Genomic DNA, 23,215 nt, shown 5'->3' with positions numbered 1-23,215 from the left:
GAAACCTTAAAGTTGAAGACATTTGGAAATTTATCCTGGTTTGTAAATGAATTCTACTTTGCCATGTCCTCTTGATTCAGGATAAAGAGTGCATGTTTACAGGTAGTCTGTGATGTCTGTAGTAATCCATTAGGAAAATGTAGACATGTATTTAATATGAGTAAATAATGTATATTAGCTAGGAGGATATAAAGTTAGCAAGATATCCTGAATGCTTTATTTTGTCAGACAAACCCACTTAGCACATTTTTAGTAGAGAGAGAATTTTATTAAAGCCTGTTTTCAGAGTTTGACCAAATCATTAGTAGTGTTCAGATGAAAAGGTTGCAAAGAACTCTTTTTATATCTGTTGTATTTTCTGCTTGAAATAGGACCCTTATACTCTGTCTATAAATAAATCTGCATTTTCATAAAGTGTCTGTGATTTTAATATAACTACTCTATTAAGTAAGCAATGGTCTTATTTGATTAACCTTCATGTCAAAATCATTTTCTCTAACTGCTAAGCTAAACCTTTCTTTGCATCTTTCTTTTTCTTTTCTTTCTTTCCTTTTTTCTTTTTTTTTTTGAGATGGAGTCTCGCACTGTCGCCTGGGTTGGAGTGCAGTGGTGATCTCGGCTCACTGCAATCTCTGCCTTCTGGGTTCATGCAATTCTCCAGCCTTAGCCTCCTGAATAGCGGGATTACAGGCACACACCACCATGCCTGGCTAATTTTTTGTATTATTTATTTTTAGTAGAGACGGGGGTTTCACTATGTTGGCCAGGCTGGTCTTGAACTCCTGACCTCGTGATCCTCCCACCTTGGCCTCCCAAAGTGCTGGGATTACAGGTGTGAGCCAGTGCTCCCAGCCACATCTTTCTTGTATTCACTATTGCTTATTTTAACGCTAGAGTGACCCTCTCTGTGTACTTTCATTTTTTTCTTTTGATAGTTTTATTACTGTAAAAACAGCAATTCAATACCTTTTTTTTTTTTTTTTTTTTTTTAGTTTAAGTAGCTTTTTAGGAAAGGGAATTGCTGTCATCACCAACAGCTGTTGACTAGAAGATTTGTAGGTGATATAATTGAGCAAAGGTTTCTGTTACTTGCTTCTTGGTTTGTTGAGTAACCATAGACAAATTACTGAACTGATAGTTTTATTACAGTAAAAAGAGCAATTCAATCTTTTTTTTTTAGTTTAAGTAGCTTTTTAGGAAAGGGAATTGTTCTCATCACCAGCAGCTGTTTACTAGTGGATTTGTAGGTGTCATAATTGAGCAAAGATTTCTGTTACTTGCTTCTTGGTTTGTTTAATAACCACAGACAAATTACTGAACATTTCTGAGATTCATTTGTCTCATATTTGAATACAGACACTAACAAATGCTGTAAACAAGAAATGGGTACAAAAGATTAAGTGGCAGGTAATTCCTAGTTCCAATGACCCAATAATTCCTATTTTAGACTCTAAATTTGTTGAGATAGGGCAGAATGCAGGGCTTTTGTAAGGTGAAAATTGCCACCTTCATAACCAATTAGGAGGTAACTGTATATAAAGAATAAAACCACCTTCACTACCATTTTAATTGAGTGTCCACTAGGAGTTAGGCACAGAGGTAGGTAATTCACATACATCATACCATGCAAATGAAGCAGGATGGCATTGTAGATCAAACAAAAGCAAAGTACCTCTTGCAGTAAAAATTATAGTTAATATTTGCTGGGTTTTTATAATGTGCCAAACACTGTGCTGGATTATTTCTTTTAATTCAATTCTTATAACAGCCCTATGATCATGATTTCTATTTAACAAATGAGAAAGCTGAGGCACATTGAATTTAAGTAACTTGCTCAAGGAAACAGGAAAGAATTAAAACTTTTGGAACTTAACTACTCTAATGGTTAGAACAGCTTTAACTACAAACAGCTTTTAAAAGTTTAGGCAAATTCATGGACCTACAACCAGTTATTAAAGTAAGTTAGATACACCAGAAGGTGTTTTAAATTCTAACCATCCTCTCTCACACTTGGTGCCTTGTTAGAGCCTGAATTTCAACTGGATTATATGTCACATATAAGTATGTGTAGTAAAACAATTATATGTTATGAAAAAGGAAGTGGCATCTTATCAAAGAGAAGGGAACATCTTTTGTGGTAAATCGTGATAGTTTTTCATGGTTTCATCCTCATGAAAAGTTTATATATGAATCATTATCAACTCAATTATTTCAAGACTTCATGTAGAATGAAAATCACTAAATTGTTTCTGAGATCATCAGGATTAGAATTATTTAGCCCAACATTTCCCCAAAAGTATTCTGTAGAGCATGCTTTGAAAATATGGAAGAGGAAAAAAGTTGTTTCTTTTTGTAATGATCAATGCTGCACATAGAAATTCCCATGAATGTTTTGATGCACATTAGCGCGTTAAAATTGTTGAGAAATATTGCCATGAAGAAGCCTGTTTAACTCTGCTTAACTCAGAATTTCCCAAATGTTTTTGACCCCAGAACTCTTCCATAGTATATTAATCCTGGAAATTTCTGAAACCATACTTTGGGAAATATCAGTTTGGAATTTTTCTAATAATGTTTATGACAATATTAGCTTCTACTTGGAATCAAAAGAATCATAGTGGAGAAACTTCAGTGCCCTTACAGTTTAATATTTTACCTGACGTAGAAAGACTCTCTGATAATATGCAACATATGCAACTGCCTAACAATAGATGATCACTAACAATGATAACAATCTCAATTTTCTGAGACAGTGAAGCTGATTTTGGACACTTCTAATTGTTGGAGACAAATTTCTCAAACTGAGCTTAAAACTGCCTCCCTGCTATTTCAAACAGTGCGTCTAGTTTTGCTTTCTGGAGCAACACAGAATCAAGGCAATAGAAAAGGCTCTTTTCAAATAACTGATGATTACTCTTAGGACTTACCTATGTCTCCCCTTTTCTAGGCTAAAAATTTTTTGACTTTTGGATGTTCTTTATATGGTAAATACCATAGAATTTCTATATATTTTTCAAATTGGCTTACATTTCTTTGTATGACTTTTAGTTTCCTGCTGAAATTTTCAGTCTTTATTTTGATCTACTCGACATGGTGAGCAGAACTGTCTGATCCTCATGGTTTGAGAACTCTGGTGTTTGGACTCCTTGGGTGCCTGCTTCTGCTATCATTTTCCTTGCTTTTACTCATGGTGTCTTGTCTTATAATGTGAATGGCTATTTTTGATTGGATACTGAACATCACCTCTTCTGAAACCCACTTCAGGAAATTTCTCACTGCCTTATTAGCTCTGTGATGTTTTTAAGATGAATTATTTTATCATCAAACCTTCGTTTCCTTCAGCAGAGGATCAGACTGAATTTCTAATTTGCTATTACAAGAAATAGAAGTCCCCCAAATCATCTCTGTAAATCCTTTTCTATGCATTCTAGATTGTAGGTAACTTCCATGAAATGTTGAAATCAGTGTCTTGAAATCAAAACAAACTCTCTGATGTGAACATTCCATGATATAAATGGACAATTACATCCCTGATTTAATGTCTAACATGATCTTACCTATCACAGTAGCCTTGTCATGTTGTTGGTTCATATTGATTTTGAAAGCAATTACAACCTCCAACTCTCTGAGCTCAAACTACTCCTAATCCAGGTCTTCCTCCTCTGATACTAGTCTTTTTTTTAATTATGTAAAGGTAGAAGTTACATTTATATTCATTGAACTTTATCTTATTAATTCCTGCTTTTTGTTACAGTCCATCATCCTTTGACTCTCGATTTTGTCTTCCTTTCCTAACCTGATATCATTTTCAAATTTATTCATGAAAAAATGTTTAATGACATGGAAAACAGTATTATATCTTTCTTTTAGATAATACCAATCAAATATGAACATCCTTTGAGTAAAGTTGTTGAAATGAGCTTCAAGCTTGCTTCATTGGGCTGCTGTATAAACCATGCTTCTTTATTTCATTTTCAAGCACTTCTTGAAAGACTTTCTTGAAATCAAGATATACTGTTTGTGGCATTGTGGATTTATCAGTCTAGTAATCCCAGTTATAAAGGAAATGAAGTTAGTTTGGCATGACTTACTTTTTAATGACCCAATAAGAGCTCTAAGTGACCATTGCTTGCCTGCTTTTATTTTCTTCTCCTTTGTTCTGACCTTCATTTTTTAAATTACTTATAATCCACTTAATTATGATGCAAAACCACTTGTTGCTGGGTTCTTCTTGCTCTTAAGATCTCAATATAATTAGTTTAAACCCTCATTCTGTGTCCTATCAAGTATAATGTTCTCCCCCAAATTTCTGCAAATTCCTTGGGAGCTCATATTTTCAGGGTCAACTCTGTCTCCAAGCTTTTGCTTCCACTGAATTATTTTCATTTATAGATTGTCTTTCTGTCTCTATTCTACATTATATTCACCCAGAATCTGGAGTTGGCCTTTTCCCCTTGCACGAATAGACACACAGATACACACATTCTCCAACCTACCAGAGCAGACCAGAATACATGAATGTAGTAAACCTTACAGAAACTTACAGGAAGACGGAAGGGAGGGATATCTATATTGCAACAATATATTCTAAAGGGCTTCAATTTGTATGTTCGAAATCTTCAAAATCTCATTGATAGCAACTCCATCTCATTGCCCTTCCACATTTTTTCTCTAGCTACTTTCCCTCAAACTTCTAAATTATGTTCATTGGAATGCAGTAAAGAATAGTTATCTCTCTAGCACTCCACTTGGCCCCTGCTTATTTCTGTCCTTAGGATATCACTACCCACCTTAAATTACTCCTTAAGGTATTTTCTTCAGTATAGGTAGTGCCCTTCCTAAGAAGCATTCTGTAGTCAGCCATCACACTCCCCAATCCTACTATATAATAATCTATTATAGATTTTTGGTGGGAGGAGGGTATCCACTTTAAAGACATGAATTTCTCCTGGGAACACACTTTTTTTCCCCCAAAACAGAGGACTGCCTTTTTATTTCTTGCCCTTATTTTGCATGTAATGGGCCAAGGCCTGCCTTTCTTCTCCTTGTCTTTACTATTTCATTCAGGCTTCTGGACTTTTTTTTTTTCCCTCCTGACACTTATACAAGTTCCTGCTACATTTTCTGTTTTTGTTCTTTATTTCATAGCATTAAAGAATTCCTCTGAGCTCACAATTTTTTTTAAGTGGCCTTACTCTTATTTTCCTTCTTATGACTTTTCTTACATAACAGATTTTTTTCAATCCCGTTGAAGTATATTTCCTTTTAGATGTCAGATAAATGAGATGTTACTCTCTTTTAATAGCATGTATCTATATATTTCCTGATTTTGTAAAGCTTTCTTATTTCTATTAAATTATACTCTTTCCACTGAGACTGCCCCAGGAGAAGCAATTACAATAGAACATTTACAAGGACACAGTCTGAGACCACCAACTAGTGTAAACATGGGTCACTGAGCAACCAAAAATGGACAAGTACTGCCAAATTAAATAATCAAGGATTCCTGACATGGCACTTTTAAACGTGTCTAGTTCCTTAAGGAAATGTGTGTGTTCTTTTGGGGAAAAACAGGTCCAAATGAAAGGTAATAGGGGACAGAGGAAAAAAGTGCTGATATTTCAATATTTCATCAATTGTAGAAACTTGGAAAGGTATTTTGGCTCTATTGTCACCATTGTTTATAAATTTTTTATAGGAATTTAAGTTAAAATGTTTATCTCTATGATACTGTTCAAGTGTTTCAGACTTTTCTGTACTATTTGTTCTTCTTAGGATTCCACATCTTGTTTTATTGGCATATGGATTTCTTTTTTTTTTTTTTGAGACAGAGATTTGCTCTTTTTGCACACCTGGAGTGCAATGGCATGGTCTTGGCTCACTGCAACCTTCACCTCCCAGGTTCAAGTGATTCTCCTGCCTCAGCCTCCCGAGTAGCTGGGATTACAGGTGTGCACCACCATGCCAGGCTAATTTTTGTATTTTTAGTAAAGACAGTGTTTTGCCATGTTGGCTAGGCTGGTCTCAAACTCCTGACCTTGGGTGATCTGCCCACCTTGGCCTCCCAAAGTGCTGGGATTACAGGCGTCCGCCACCGTGCCCACCTTGGCATCTGGATTTCTAAGGGTCAATTTTATTTGGAAGAAAATAGGTTTGGATGGCTTCTGCTTACTGGGTCAGGACATCGTGGGAAGAAAACATGGCTTTTGGCAGCATGGAGACCTTGCTTGAATCCTGGCTGTGTTGTTGATTAGCTGGGTGATTTTGGGAAAGTTAAAAATCTGCGAGCTTTGGTTTCTTCTTCTGAGTTATGGGGAGAATAAAACTTATTCCGAATACCTTGAAAGGGTTTTGTGAAGACTGAATGATATATGACATAAATTACTTGGCAAGAACTGGTATAAGTTCTCTTTCACCTTCTTTCCCTGTCCCATCTTTCTTCTCCTTGGTATCTTGCTCCCACTTTTTGGCCCTTGGAGTGAAATGTTGTACTTATTCCTAAAAATGAAGGGAAATTTGACTATTGAGTTGAACTAACTTTTCTAACTTTTTCCATTTATCATACCATAGTCATGTTTTACTTGTTTTGGGAATGTTGATCCCTTTGGATTAGGTAATAGACCAGTGTCTTACAGGAAATGGGTCCAGAATTTAACAACTTTTGTCAAATGTATATTTAACATTTGCTACATAATTTTATAAAGCATTTGTGGACAAACAATAATTCTGACTATGACAAATATTTATATTGACAGAAAAATCACATTACCATGTTGGCAGCTGAGACTCTCCGAGGCCACCCTCTATTTAAAAGGCAGATGTGTACCAACAAAAAGATTTTCTAAAGCCTTTTATTACTGAAGATATCAGCAGCTGATAAAGGGAAAATTACTGTATAATTAAGAGCTGTTAGAAGCTATGTATATTTTGTGGAAGATCTTAGGCAAAATATGTAAAAGCATATTAAGATGTAAAGAAAAAGAGCAAGTCAAGACTGGTATTTAAGATGTGTATTCTGTTTTCACTCTGCTGATAAAGACATACTTTATACTGGGCAATTTACAAAAGAAAGAGGTTTAATGGACTTACAGTTCCACATGGATTCCATGTGGATTCCATGATTGTGAGGGGAGGCCTCACAATCATGGCAGAAGGCAAGGAGGAGCAAGTCACATCTTACATGGACGGCAGCAGGCAAAGAGAGAGCTTGTGGAGGGAAACTCCTGTTTTTAAAACCATCAGATCTCCTGAGACTCTTCCACTATCATGAGAACAGTGCAGGAAAGACCTGGCCCTGTAATTCAATCACCTCCCACTGGTTCCTCCCATGACATGTGGGAATTGTGAGAGTTACAATTCAAGATGAGATTTGGGTGGGGACACAGCCAAACTATATCATTCTGCCCCCAGCCCCTCCCAAATCTCATGTCCTCACATTTCAAAACTAATCATGCCTTCTCAACATTCCCCCAAAGTCTTAATTCATTTCAGCATTAACTCAAAAGTCCACAGTTCAACATCTCATCTAAGACAAGGCAAGTCTCTTCTGCCTATGAGCTTGTAAAATCAAAAGCAAGTTAGTTACTTTCTAGATACAATGAGGGTACAGGCATTGGGTAAATACAGCTGTTACAAATGGGACAAATTGGTCAAAACAAAGGGGCTACAGGCCCCATGTAAGTCCACAATCCATCAGGGCAGTCAAATCTTAAAGCTCCAAAATGATCTCCTTTGACTCCATGTCTCACATCCAGATCATGCTGATGCAAGAAGTGGGTTCCCATGGTCTTGGGCAGCTCTCCCCCTGTGGCTTTGCGGGATACAGCCTTCCTCCTGGCTGTGTTCATGGGTTGCCATTGAGTGTCTGCGGCTTTTCCAGGTGCACAGTGCAAGCTGTCAGTGGAGCTATCATTCTAGGGTGGTTCTGGAGGACAGTGGCCCTCTTCTCACAGCTCCACTAGGTGGTGCCCCAGTAGGTACTCTGTGTGAGGGCTCCAACACCACATTTCCCTTCCACTCTTCCTAACAGAGGTTCTCCATGAGAGCCCTGCCCCTGCAGCAAACTTCTACCTGGACATACAAGCGTTTCCATAAATTCTCTAAAATCTAGGCAGAGGTTCCCAAACCTCAATTTTTGACTTCCATGCACTTGCAGGCTCAATACCACATGGAAGGTGGCAAGGCTTCAGAAGCTGCGTTCTGAAGCCACAGCCCAAGCTCGACATTGGCCCCTTTCAGCCACGGCTGGAGCAGCTGGGACAAAGGGCTCCAAGTCCCTAGGCTGCACACAGCATGGGGACCTTGGGCTTGGCCCATGAAACTGCTTTTTCCTCTTAGGCTTCCTGGCCTGTGATGGGAGGGGCTGCTGGGAAGTCCTCTGACATGCCCTGGAGACATTTTCCCCATTGTCTTGGGGATTAATATTTGGCTCCTCATTACTTATGCAAATTTCTGCAGCTGGCTTGAATTTTTCCTCAGAAAATGTGATTTTCTTTTCTATCACATTTTCAGGTTGCAAATTTTCCAAACTTTATGCTCTGCTTCCCTTATAAAACTGAATGCCTTTAACAGTACCCAAGTCACCTCTTGAATGCTTTGCTGCTTAGAAGTTCCTTAAACCAGATACTCTAAATCATCTTTCTCAAGTTCAAATTTCCACAAATCTCTAGGGCAGGGCAAAATGCCACCAATCTCTTTGCTAAAACATAACAAGAGTCACCTTTGCTCCAGTTCCCAACAAGTTCCTCATTTCCAGCTGAGACCACCTCAGCCTGGGCTTTATTGCGCATATGCTTATCAGCATTTTGGGCAAAGCCATTCAACAAGTCTCTAGGAAGTTCCAGACCTTCCCACATTTTCATGTCTTCTTCTGAGCCCTCCAAACTGTTCCAACCGCTGCCTGTTACCCAGTTCCCAAATTGCTTCCACATTTTCAGGTATCTACAGCAGCACCCCACTCTACTGGTACCAATTTACTGTATTAGTCTGTTTTCATGCTGCTAATAAAGACATACCTGAGACTGGGCAATTTATAAAAGAAGGAGGTTTAATGGACTTACAGTTCCACCTTGCTGGGGAGGCTACACAATCATGGTGGAAGCAAGGAGGAGCAAGTCACATCTGATGTGGATGGCGGCAGGCAAAGAGAGAGCTTGTGTAGGGAAACTCCCATCTTTAAAACCGTCAGATCTCGTGACACTCATTCACTATCACGAGAACAGTGCAGGAAAGACCTGCCCCCATAATTCAATCACCTCCCACCGGGTTCCTCCCATGACACTTGGGAATTGTGGGAGTTACAATTCAAGATGAGATTTGGGTGGGAACACAGCCAAACCACATCAAGATATAAGAGGAGAAATTAGAAATAGAGACAAATAGGGCATACTTGCTGGATTTGTCATGAATTTCCTATTGGAAATTTTAGGGAAGAAGAAATTTTTTTTTCAAACGTATATTTTTTAAATTTTATTTTATTTTATTTTATTTTATTTATTGTATTATTATTATACTTTAAGTTTTAGGGTACATGTGCACAATGTGCAGGTTAGTTACATATGTATACATGTGCCATGCTGGTGTGCTGCACCCATTAACTCATCATTTAGCATTAGGTATATCTCCTAAAGCTATCCCTCCCCCCTCCCCCGACCCCACAGCAGTCCCCAGAGTGTGATGTTCCCCTTCCTGTGTCCATGTGTTCTCATATAGATACATAATAGTTGTACTTATTTATGGGGTATATATGATATTTTGATAAAAGCATATAATGTGTAATGATCAAATCAGGGTAATTGGAATATCCATCACCTCAAGCATTTATCATTTCTTTGTGTTAGGAACATTCTGATTCTACTCTTTTAGTTATTTTGAAATATGTGATAAGTTATTGTTAACTATGGTCTTTCTATTATGTTACCAAACACCAGATTTTTTTCCATCTAACTTTATTTTTATATCCATTAACCATCCCTTCTATATCCCCCTATTTTGACAAGTAAAAATTATATATATTTATGGTATATAACATGATGTTTTAATACATGTATACATTCTGGAATCGCTAACTCAAGCTACTTAATATATATGCATTACCTTTTATACTTATCAATTTTTGGTAGTGAGAACACTTAAAATTTACTCTAGCAATTTTCATGTATATAATTTATTGGTATTAACTGCAGTCACCATGATGTACAATAGATCTCTTGAGATTATTCCTCCTGTTTAATTGAAATTTTATGACCTTTGACCATACAAATTTAAACCATGTAAAATTTTCATTTTTTAAGAAGGAATCAGCATCTTTCCAGTTATCTCTGATTTGATTAATTAATGGATTACCTCAGCAAATGGTTATTTTTGTGTGCTTACTTTGTGGCAGTCACCATCACTCTAGTATGTGCTAGGGATTCAAATTTCTAAAAATACCATCATGATCCTGCTCTCTTGGAATTTACAGACTAGATAAAAAGTAAATTAACAATATGTTATTATGGTAGAGGTTGGTACAAAGTGTTATGGAGGTTGGAATTGTATTAAGAGAGGGTATGTTAAATGAATACTGTGTGGCTGAGTTTGGAGAGTTGACTAGAGAAAGAAGGTAGTGGGGCAGAGGGCATTTTACCTGCAGAAGAGGATGTATGCTGAAAGACTTGTAATAGTCCTGAATGGCTGAGATGAAGGGTGAACTGTGTGAGAGGAACAAGAGTTGAAGCTGGAGAGGTAGGCATAGACCTAATTTGAAAGGTCTATGTGCTAAGTTACAAAGTTTGAACTATAGTCTGAAAGCTAAGGGGAAACCATGAAAGAATTTTAAGCAGGGTAATGATGAGGGGACTTCACAAAGTTCATAGAAAAATGGAATTAAAAGAAAAAAATAAAAAATATAAACTTTATTTCTCATCATAAACTCCATCAAGTTGAAGACACTTTTGTAAATAATGATACTAGCCATTTAGTTCATCCCTAAAGAATTGAATGTCCTGGAATTTAACCGTGCCAATGCAGTCTTTTTTACATTATCAACTGAAGAAAAATGAGTGCCCTTTAAATATTTTTTGAGATTTGGAAACAAAAAGAGTCAGAAGGAGCCAAACCAGGACTGTAAGGTGGATACCTAATGATTTTATATTGAAACTTGCAAAATTGGCTTTGTTTAATGAGCAGAATGAGCAGAATGAGCAGGAGCATTGTGGTGGAGAAGGACTCTGGTGAAGCTTTCCCAGTGTTTTTCTGCTAAAGCTTTGGCTAGCTTTCTCAAAAGACTCTCATAATAAACAGATACTATCATTCCATGGCCTTCCAGAAAATCAACAAGCAAAATTCTTTGAGCATCTTAAAAAACTATTGCCATGATCTTTGCTCTTGACTAGCTTGCTTTTGCATTGACAGGACCACTTCCACCTCTTGGTAGATATTGCTTTGATTGTGCTCAGTCTTCAGGATCATACTGGTAAATCCACATTCATCTTTTGTTAGATTTCTCCAAAGGAATACTTAAGGAGCTTGATGAAATTAAAATTGTTAAAACATTTCATTGAAAGCTCTGGTCTTATCTGCAATTGATCTATGTGCAACAATTTTGGCATTCATCCAGGGGAAACTTTGCTCAACTGAAAATTTTCAGTCAGAATTGTGTAAGCTGAACCAGTTCAGATGTCTATGATGTTGGCTATTGCTTCTGGTGTTAATTGTTGGTCCTCTTCAATTAGGACACAAACAAGATTAATTTTTTCCTTGCAAATTGATGTGGATGGTCTGCTGCTGTGGGTTTTGTCTTCAACATCATCTTGACCCTTCTCAAAATGGATTATCCATTTGTAAACTGCTGATTTCTTTGGGGACATTGCCCATAAACTTTTTATTTTATTTTATTTTATCTTATCTTTGAGATGAAGTCTTTTTCTGTCACCCAGGCTGGAGTGCAGTGGTGCGATCTCGGCTCACTGCAACGTCTGCCTCCTGGGCTCAAGCAATTCTCTTGCCTCAGCCTCACAAGTAACTGGGATTACAGGTGCATGCCACCACACCTGACTAATTTTTGTATTTTTAATAAAGATGGGATTTCACCATGTTGGCCAGGCTGGTCTCGAACTCCTGACCTCAATTGATCTGCCAGCCTCGGCCTCCCAAAGTGCTGAGATTACAGCGTGAGCCACTGTACCTGGCCAAACTTTTCATAAAGCATCAATGATTTCGTCATTTTTCCACCCAAGCCTCACCATAAATGTGATGTTTCTCACAGCGTCAAGCCCAGTGCTTTGCACAGTGATGCTGCTCTATAAACAATTATTGAATGACCCTTTTGTTCAGTCCTTATTCACTACTGAAAGGTGTCATGATCTTAATGACAATGGTCTTTTCAATTTTATGGAACTTTTAAGTTTATAAAGCAGTAACCTATAAAGCTAGATTGTAAAATCTGTTAGGGTAAGAGTTGTTTCTCTTTTGTTTTCCTCTGTTTCTTACATGTCTGGTATGTTGCTCATTGATAAATATTTGTTGAATGAATGTCTTTTATTTTTCCTCAACTGATTTCACAACAACTGAGTGAAGTAGGCAGGCAAAGACAATTTGTCCTGTGTTATAGATAACACAATCAAAATTGGAATAATAATGACTTGTCCAAAGTGATGCAGTTATTAAATGGCATAGCAAGGACTTGAACCTCAGACCTCAAGGCCAGTGTGCCTTCACCTACATAGAACTATTTCTAATTTAGATCTCAAGCCCAATTTTGCTCTATGTTCTTAACTTTTATAGTCATTCCTTACAGCAAAAAAAAAAAAAAAAAAATCATTTGAGATATGTATGTGAGCTTTAATTTTCTGCTTCAGTTGTAAACTTCTTTTTATTGAGTGGTATTATCATCTTGTAAGTTCATTTGGAAAATATGAAAGTCAATGGATTAAATTCAGAAACATTAAATAATTTCTTTCTCTGTAATACTTTATTTTTGATTGCTCTGTGGTTGCCATATTTAAGTAAGGTAGATTAGCTATTTCTTATGCTTAAAACAATTTCTTTTTACTCTAGGTATTAATATTTATAGAGCATCAATATATTATTTTTTTGACTATTCTTTCCTTCTGCTTTAGGCTCCAGAAACTTTTAGCATTGTTTTAAACAGATGATTTAGGGACACTAAGATCACACTTGGTGATATAATGCTTTCCATCAGGCACTTACTGTATACCCTTTTGTACACATAACGCTGCGGGTATGGGATTTCTTTTCATGTTACAGGTAGCACCCAGCACCTCGTATAAATGCATGAAATATTAAATAAGAAAACATGATGACTGTGGAGCTGGCTCTTGTTTTGGAGCAATGCTACTTGATGTTTTTAAATTATGGGAATTAGTAGGCTGCTGGAGCTCTAGAGTTATTTGAATCAATCGATCTGACTACAAAAGGAAGCCAGGGCGTTGGCAGTGAGGGAGAGGAAAACTTTATTTGCCAGAGCCTTGGCTGCATTTTTTTTTCCTGCTGTTTCAGCCTATTTCTTCGTGTCTTTCTCAAATTACTCCACAAATCTACATAATTTACATGAACTCATTGGATGCATAATTTGTATAGAACACTGGCTTAGATTTATTTATATATGTATTGTCAGGAAAAAGGAGAAAAAATGTATCTGGGAAAAGGGACTGCTGAGACAAAGTAGACATTTTCCTGTTGCCTTTTCTATGCTTCTCTTTCTTGCAAAATAATTTGTCAGCTATTTTAATGTGAGATGAGCAATTATAGTTTCTGCTGTTTTATTTGATGGATTACTATTATTATTTCTGAGCAGAAATAATTTGATGAGAAAACACACTCTGGGAGTGTTGACAGTGCTTACTTTTCCAGCAAGTGCTGGGCTTAGGGATATTGTTTTCCTCTACCCATTCTTATCTTGTATGTCCAAGGTTTGTTTTGGGTTTAGTCTAATTCACTGAGCTTTTTAAAGTTTGAGTTTGGTTTATAACGAGTTAAAAAAAAAAACACAGGATAAATTCAAGGTTCAACAAATTATTCTGGGGTTTTTGGCTCATTTTAAATTCCCACTCAAAACTATGAATAAGTAAAATCCAGCAGTATTAAAAATCTCTTCAATTAATTGTGCTTCCTTTCCCCAACTTGTCTCCAACTGGGAGATCATTTATTTGGAGAAATAATCAATATAAGAAAATTATCATGTACTGAACAAATATAGAAAATCTTGGAGGTTTGTTTCAATGATTAACCATTGTGGCCTATTAGAAAAATCTTCAAGCCAAGTGAATACTCTTTAAAACCTAGGCCTCAACCTAACTTTTATCTTCTGTACTTCAGCATCACTTGGAAAGTAAGATTATTGCTTTCACTCTTTAGTATCTTTAAGCGTACATGTGTGCAGGTGGGGATGGGGTGTGTTTAATAGGGAGCTAAGCCAGAGCTATACCACAGCTTTCATATGACCTCTCCTTGACAATTAATTATTGTTGTAAGCAAAAAAAACTGCTTAAATGAATGAAATTATCATGGTTTTACAGTATTTTGAACTCTTTATTATCAATAAATGGAGGATATAATTCCTGATAACAAAAGTTCAAGCTGAAATCTCCATATTATACAAAGTCCGACCTTTAGTTAAAACATTCTTGTGATCATGTATTGTTACTGGATTTTCTCCATTTCTCCTTTGGCCATGGGCATATTACCTGAAGTGTTGGTTTTCTGTGTTTCTTATTTTGAACACTCTTTTTTTTTTTTTTTTTTTTTTTTTGAGACAGAGTCTCGCTGTCGCCCAGGCTGGAGTGCAGTGGCGCAATCTCGGCTCATTGCAAGCTCCGCCTGCCGGGTTCACGCCATTCTCCTGCCTCAGCCTCCCGCGGGGACTACAGGCGCCCGCCACCTCTCCTGGCTAATTTTTTGTATTTTTAGTAGAGACGGGGTTTCACCGTGTTAGCCAGGATAGTCTCGATCTCCTGACCTCGTGATCCGCCCGCCTCGGCCTCCCAAAGTGCTGGGATTACAGGCGTGAGCCACCGCGCCCGGCTATTTTGAACACTCTTTACAAGTGTGTTTGCTCTAAAGTTCCCATTTGGAGTTGTATAATGTTTACAGAGATAAATATGAAGAAAAAATATTTTAAGAAGTAGAGCTAATATTTCTTAGGGAAGACAAAGTGCAGGGGCTAAAACATGCTTTAGAGTTAAATGGATTTGTCAGTAAAATAGCTTGTATTAATTAAATCATAGATAAAATTACTTAAATTTTTTAGAATCTTAGATAAGGTTTTATTTTGATTTGAACATAGTGAGAATGAACCAAGAAATGGGCAAGGCACAGAAATGATTATACAATATAATAAATATTTCATATAAAGGTCATTAAAATTATGTTGAAAGGAACTTGTTTATTGTTATAAGTGGGGGAAAATGAACTGATTTTGGCTGTGTTTAATATGTTGGGTAGAATTGGTTTCCACGTCAGACTCTTAAAAGACTTCCTGTCCTTTGGGGCCCAACTCAAATTGTCTTACGTCTTCTACGTGGTCTGAGTCCCTCCGTCAGTGTCAGTATCAGTGAGTTTTCCGAGTTTTCACCAATGTTACCTTTATCTCTCTTTTTTTGCACTCTCTTTACTACCTTGCCTTGTGTTAGAGTTAAGGATAGAGTAGAAAGAACATGAATGTTGTAATAAAAACCCAGTTCAATCAAACTTTCTGAAACCCAGTTTACTCAATTATAGAATGAGAAGAGAAATAGGAACTCCTGTGGTTCTTGTGAAGATTAAATTGGAAAGCATCAAGTACCTGGGGCTGAGTGGGCACTCAGTAAGTGTCAGTGTCCATCTCATTTCCGAATTTCATGTCTAGTTTCTCCAGTGGTATGAGTTCCTTCAGGGCAGGAAATGTCTTTTATATTCATAGTGCTTTGTGCATAGTAGGTTCTAAATGATTATTTGTTGAATTTAATTTACTGTCCTGTCATGGAAGCTTAGCACTGTTATTTCCCATTTCTTTTCCCTCTGTCACCTTGGATTGAGATAAACATGTTGCTTTCATGAAATTAGGGATTTAATTCAGTAGAATGCCATTTTAATATGACTTATTTCATAGAGTTTGATATAGTAAGGGTCAAATCATTTCCCTGGAAACTTAATTATATTCTATAAAATCTTATTAGCCTGTCTCATGGCATCATAGTCACAGTGGAGTTCTGGTGTGTTTAAGATGGTCAAGTCTCTATCTGTAGAAATCTGTCTAATGGCACAGAGTGAGAATATGGGAAATAAATGACATAAAGAGAGAGCAAATGCAAATGTCTTGCAAATTACATTACTTGACATTTTCAATCACTAACCCTCCAAAGTATGTTCTAATTTATGAAAATAAACCAAGAATCCAATTTCTTGTGAGCTTCCTTTGCTTAATTAATTATTAGTAGCAGACAGTATTCTGTGGTTCGTTGCAATTTTTCACCTTTGTATTTATCTAGTATCTGATTTAAAAAGAATAGGAGCATTCTGATTCAGCAGAACTGATCAGAACTCTCTTTCTGATCATAACTCATCTGCTCATAGCTCATCTGTGTTATAGAGCAGAAATGAATAAATGTTTGCTGAACATGCCACATATGCTTTGATCATCAAAATGTTAAGTTTTCCTTCCTTCTCAAAATACAAGCTCTGAGAGATCTTTCTTGCTGAAGTTTGTTGGGTGACCTATTCTGCATAGATATTATTATAGAGGCAAGCCAGATTCCATGCCATTATAGCAAAATATCGTGTAAGCAACTACATTTTCATAAATTTGTTTGTTTCCATGATTGAAATGTGAGCACTCTTTAATGCTTCCTCATTATGATTTAAAATTATACATTCACAGTGCTTTCTAAAAAATTTTAAAGCAGAAGTATATCCTAAAAGATGAACTTTCTTTTTTATTTTTTTTAAATGAAGTATGCTCTTTTGTTAGAATGAGGACTGAACAGGCTTCTCATGCATGCAGTAATGTTGGTTATACTTAGAATATGGTTTATAACTCTTTCTGTGTCCCTAATTATTTCATTGAAAGATAATTAGCTAGCATTTGTTATCACTGTATTATGAATGGGAGAAACTGAGGCTCATTATCGACTCTTCGTGTTAGCAAGTTGAGAATTTGAGAAAAATCTGCTGCTATCCTAATGATCTACTTTTGTTTTCAATTTCAGTTTCAAAGGACATTTGAGTCTCTCAAAAATGTTGCCAACAAATCTGACCTCCAGAAAACCTACCAGAAGCTTGGGAAGGAGCTGGAAAATTTGGATTATTTAGCCTTCAAACGTCAGCAGGTAGGAGTCAGAGCTCTCCTTGGTGGAGGAGATGAACACTTTAGGCTTCCTGCCATCCTGCCTGTCAGAGGTGCAGGTGGGTCTGAGGAAACTTATCTTCTAATGGTTAGAGCAGATACAGGTTGTGCTGTGCTGATCTGCTGTGTTCATATGGCTTCCCACAGTGTTCAATGTGGTCCTTGCTTTTAGATGTGTACTTTAGGGGTTTCCACATGTGTCCTTATACCTCTCTTAAAGAAAATTCCTGCTGGTTTGTGAAAATCCAACTACCCTTTGACTAGGGACGCTTCAGAGGCATAAAGGGAGTCTCTATAATGGCTTGGCCAGTTGGCTTTTATATTTGACCTGGGGAGAAAAATCACCTGAAGACCAGGATAAGGTTGTGGGTGTACATGCAACATTAAGGAAAATAGTCATAAATATGCCAAAATATGAATTGATCTTTAGTTTTCTTTGATCTTTGAAGATGAGTAATTTGCTAAGTGTGGAAGATTGAAGGAAGATTTACTTTTCAAATACAAGGTTTTTAATTGCCTCCTTTTGTAGGCCCCTAGATAAATAGAGAGCTGAAATAAACTTTTATAGGGTTTGTTTTAGAACTGGTACTTTATAACCTAATATTCATCATGATTAAATGCTGTGTGTTTTGGAGACACTGCCACAGTAGCTCACTACTCTTCCTAGGCTGAATCTGCTCCAGTTTCTTCACAGCCACTAGGTGTCAGCGTTGTCAAGCTTTTACTTCCACCAAAGGTTTATTCCGATCAGAACAGCCAGTTAAATGTTTAAATGAGGTTGCATGAAATTCGGTAATGTGCTCCATGATGGATAGAGTCTAGAAAAATGACTAAATGTCTGACTTGCATGGCCAGGCCTCGAGTCGATCACTTGAGAGACTTTCCTCTTAGAGTAGCAAAGGGTGTGGCATTCTCACCATTGCCTAATTCACAAGTTTTGGATCCTTTTGGATGAAGGTTTTCAAAGCAGAATTTTCTATTTTTAGTTAAATCTCATTAAGTCAACATGATATGGTCTAGAATTACTGGGCCAAAAAGAGAATTGTGTTCTAGGTATTGCTCTATCACAGATGTTACATGGACATTTAACCTTTCTATGGCCTTATTTTCCTAGGGGTTATATTTGTTTTATAGAATGTTCCAGGGCAAATACATTCTTTTTGCAGACACATTAATTTACATGAAAAAGGATACAATGTCCATTTAAGTTTTGTTTTTTTAAAAAAATTAATGATGATCTAGGTATTAGCACTTGATGGTTACTGAGTGCTACTATAACAAACCCCCAGAGGATGCTGCTTAGCGTTCACACCAGAGTCACTCCTCCGGCCTATGCAATTTTTAGTACAGTTTTGTTTCCAAAACCATATTTTACCATGGAGGGGTATTTGAGCTGGCAGGCAGTAGTCACTGTACTCTTCTGTTATCGTTTCTCATTAACACATTTTCAGTGATTGGATTCTTTTATTAGCTAATTGTGAATTTGGAAGAATGTAAATGCCTCAGGGGCAGAAGGGTAGAACTCTGGGAGAATGGCATTGAGGATAGATGGGTAAATTATATGTGCATAAAGAAAAGATGAGCACATGGAGTGTATACATATATGCCTATATAAATCATCTATACTATTTATTAAATGAAAAGCATATGGCACATGGTATGATTTAAACATTTATGAATTGAATCTTTAAATGCTTATAACAATACAGTGAGGTGGCTTTTGTTAGCACCATTTTACAGATGAGAAAATTGTTAAGGAAGTTAAGTAACATGCCTAAGGTCATGGAGCTAATAAGGCGTGAAACTGGGCTTCAAATCTAAATCAAGTCTGACTTCAAACCTGGAGTGTTATGTCTTCTTGATGGGCAGGGTCAAAGGGTCAGAACATCAGCTCTTCTCTAGCTTGATGGGATTTATCTTTTATCTCGCATTCTATTCCTTTAAAGCTCCAAAACCTGATGAAGCACACGCCAGAAAGTGTTTTTCTTCTAATGGAAAAGATTCAGGCCTCTGTAAAATTGCCAGTTTAGCAAGAAAGTTTCCTCTTTATAAGGTGGTATTCTTTGTATTAGAGAATTAGTCATGGTTTGTTCCCTGGTCCAACCATATTTATCATTCCGCACTGGGACAGAACATAAGCTCCAAAAGGACAGGGCCTCGTCTGTCACCTTTAATGCTGTATCCTCTCCAGTGCTCCTAACAGTATCTGACTCATGGCAAATCCTCAGTAAATATTATTGGTGGTGTTGTTGCTATGAACAAAGAACCATGCCAAAAGGTTTGACCTCAGATTATAGGCAATTAAAATCAATGTGTTTTGCTACACATTTAAAATTCAAAAGAGCATAAGCCTTTGGTTTCCTGGATACCAAGGGCTGAGAGATTTTCCCTTGCCCCTATGTATTATTGAGGTTTTCTCCTAACATATTTTATTCTTCTATCCATTTTTTAAAACAAACAGAAAATGCCAGTGTTAACTCTGAATTATGGATGTCCAATGAATTGACTATAATTATTTTATTGGAGTCATCCATTAGGTTTTATTTTCTGTCCCCTTCTATGATATTTTTAACATCATCTTTGAGAGATTTCTTTCTCGGCACAAGATAAGACTACTGGAGTTCTTTGCTCCATTCTCTCACTTCTGTTTTTCTGAGGTTACTGTGCTTTCTTTCCTAGGTCTGAACTTAGTATTTATTTATTTAAAAGAGTGAGTGCCTGCACATCAGCTATTCCTTGGGTCAGGGCACAACATCTCTACATTTTCCTACTTTCAAAAAGACTAATGTTGAAATAGCTTTGATTGGAAAAGGTGTGAGAGGAGGCTGTGATAGGTGAGGTGGTGGGTTTACTGGGATGAATCAGCCTAAAGTAAACGGATGACAAAGCAGGATTAACCGGAGAATTTGGACACTCTTTTGGTTCTTACTATCGAAAGGCAGGTACAGTCTTGGAGTTTATCTGCTTGGACTACTTGGTTTTCATCCTTCTAGTTGGTGTGACATAGGAATGGTAATAACAAGTTCCAGCTATTATATCGATCTCAGATTTATGTATTAATTTGAGTGCTTATAAATCAAGAGGTTTCCTTAGAGCTTTCGTTTTGTGAAGTAAAACAAAATAAGGTTTGATAATGTGGACTCTAATGTAATTCATTCCTCTCTTTATCTACCCTTAAAACTTATAATAACATTATAAAACACATCCATTTCCAGAGGCTTCTGAAGTCTTTTGATATAAATTAAAGTTGACATTATTGAGTTGAACATTATATAGACTAAAGCACATTTAGACATTGATATAAAAATATGTAAAATTAAATTATTGTACTTCAGACCTGCATGCATGTTGGAACACATCACGTATCTGATTCTTGTCTCTCTGATCACGGCATACTATTCTTGCCTTCTGACCTGTGCACAAGGTTTATATAACTTCGTATTTAGAATGTACAGCCCGTTTCATTTTACATACTTAAATCATTCTTTAAAGTCAAACTGAAGTCTAGCCTCCCTCATAACACCTCCTCCTGTGACCTCTAGTCAATATAACTCTTCACTCTTTGCCATTCTTAGCTTTTATTTGTGTCATACAATTTAGCATTTGATTGATGATATACTCATTGAGAATCCATGTAGTACAGTGATTAGAGTGTGAGCTTTGTAGTTACCCAAACCTGGTTAGACTGTTTGTACTGGATACCTGAGTTTCTTTTTAAAAAGCATCGGAAAAATAACCCTAACTTAAATAGCTTGCTTTGAGGAAACAATATATCAAGTATAAAGTAAGTCCTATGAAATATGTATAAAGGACTTAACATTGCACCTGACATGTGTTTAGTATAATTGGTAGCTATTATATGTTTTCTGTTATTCTCATAAGCCATTTTCTTAAATAGGTTGTAAGTTCCATAAGGATATGGATATGTTCTTTATTTTGTATACTTCTGTGCTGTACATAGGGTCCAGCACTGTTCTGAACATATGGGATAGAATGTTTTTGGACATACATAGTCTAGCAGTTGGTGATCTATGTAACAAAAAGAACATGCTGACACCTCTCAAGAAGGGAGCTGCAACATTTTGTTCTAATATGTTTCTAAGGTGATATCTCTTGATGGGCAGTTAAAGTACTGAGGACTTGTACTATGACAATCTCTTGGGGGAAGTAGGTTCAGTGTTCTGGCTAACGTCCAATTCAGGTTAATAATACATTCTATATATCCAAGCTTCCCTTATGCTTCAGGTATTGTTCAGCACATGGTACTTTTTTAGTGACGATGCTCAGGAGTGAACAACTGCTTTTTTTTTCTTTTACTAAACTGGGTGTGTGACCCCTTTTAGGTAATTCCAAAGCCAGAAGGGTACATAATACCTTGTAGGATAAAAATTGAATTTAAAACAAACTTTTATTAAACAGAAGAAAAATAAAAATAAGTTAGATAAAATTTATTTGATAAAAATGACTGCGGGTTAATATTTTTCAATTGAAAAATAAAATTCTACTTGTTATCTCTTATCTTTTTCATGATAGCCATCCTAACAGGTGTGCAAGACAAGAGATAACAGGAGTTAGTGATGATGTGAAGAAAAGGAAACCTTTGCACATTGTTGGGAATGTAAATTGGTACAGTCATTTCGGAAAAAGTATAGAGGTTGCTAAAAACATATGAAATAGAGCTATCATAAGACCTATCAATCTTACTTTTGGGTATATATCCAAAGAAAATGGAATCAGTATCTTGAAGAGATAGCTGCACTCCCACGTTCATTGCAGCATTATTCACAACAGCCAAGATATTGAAACAACCTAAGTGTCTATTAACAGATGAATAAAGAAAATGTGGTATACATATAAGCAATGAAATATTATTTAGCCTTAAAAAGGAAGGAAATCCTGCCTTTGCAATAGTATGGTTGAACCTGGAAGACATTTTGCTAAGCAAAGTAATCCAGACACAGAAATACACATACTGTATGGTCTTACTTATATGTGGAATCTGAAAATGTCAAACTCAGAGAAGTAGAGGGTAGAGGAGTGCTTTCCAGGGATTGGTGGGTGGAGGAAATTAGTAGATATTGATCAAAGGTACACATTTTCACTTATAAGATGAACAAGTTCTGGGGACCTAATAAACAGCACGAGTGATGATAGACGTGTTAATTTAATGGTGGTAGTCATTACAAAATGTGTATATATCTCTCAATCATCTTGTTGCACACTTTGAATATATTCAATCTTTGTCAATCAAATATTTCAAAACAAAAAATAAAATTCTAGATAGATAATGACTGACCACATAGAAAATACTCTTAGGCTTACTCTGGGAACTTGAGAACTCTGAGGATACAACAAAACAATGTAGGGATCCTGTGGAAGAAATGCTTAGAAAATGAAACTAAATAGTGCTAGGCTTGTGGTTGTACTATAGCATATAGAGAAGAAAAAGTTGATGAGTTCCGATAATATCCTTCAATCATGTAAGGACTTATAGCAAGAAAAAAGTAGTGAATCAGCTAGAATAATATTGCACTGGGAATTGCTTATCTACAAGGACCTTATAAGGTAGGGACTAACTTTCCATTGGGGCTAACATTAAAATGGAATTGTAAATATATTTTCTTTAAGACCTTTAAAAATAAAGACCAACCTGACCAACATGGTGAAACCCCGTCTCTACTAAAAATACAAAAAATTAGCCGGGCATGGTGGCAGGCAACTGTAATCGCAGCTACTCGGGAGGCTGAGGCAGGAGAATCATTTGAATATAGGAGGCAGAGGTTGCAGATAGATGAGATCATGCCATTGCACTCCAGCCTGGGTGACAAGAGCAAAACTCCATGTCAAAAAATAAATAAATCAATAAAATAAAAGATAAAGAACATGTGTATC

At 36.5% G+C, this 23,215-nt stretch overlaps 1 protein-coding gene across 7 annotated transcripts in view, besides 1 other annotated feature; it reads left to right on the top strand.

Moving 5' to 3' along the window:
• CTNNA3 (catenin alpha 3) overlaps positions 1–23,215 on the top strand; it is a 1,851,072-nt gene that overhangs the window by 224,447 nt on the left and 1,603,410 nt on the right. For all 7 annotated transcript variants that reach the window (XM_047425124.1, NM_013266.4, XM_017016152.2 and 4 more), the window contains one exon: positions 17,187–17,306. In XM_047425124.1, coding sequence (XP_047281080.1) covers positions 17,187–17,306 — 120 coding nt within the window. The remainder of the gene's footprint in view (positions 1–17,186; positions 17,307–23,215) is intronic.
• Positions 12,146–12,315: an enhancer, noted in NCBI's record as "experimental_15830 CRE fragment used in MPRA reporter constructs". NCBI's record gives its function as "activates a minimal promoter by MPRAs in K562 erythroleukemia cells, with activity observed for both the introgressed and non-introgressed 10:69286676 variant alleles {active_cell/tissue: K562}" and the evidence as "EXISTENCE:reporter gene assay evidence [ECO:0000049][PMID:34662402]".

The sequence above is a fragment of the Homo sapiens genome, chromosome 10 (assembly GCF_000001405.40).
Source record: "Homo sapiens chromosome 10, GRCh38.p14 Primary Assembly".
Taxonomy (NCBI): domain Eukaryota; kingdom Metazoa; phylum Chordata; class Mammalia; order Primates; family Hominidae; genus Homo; species Homo sapiens.
The sequence above is the reverse complement of the archived record's forward strand: the minus strand, read 5'-3'. Positions and strand labels throughout refer to the sequence as shown.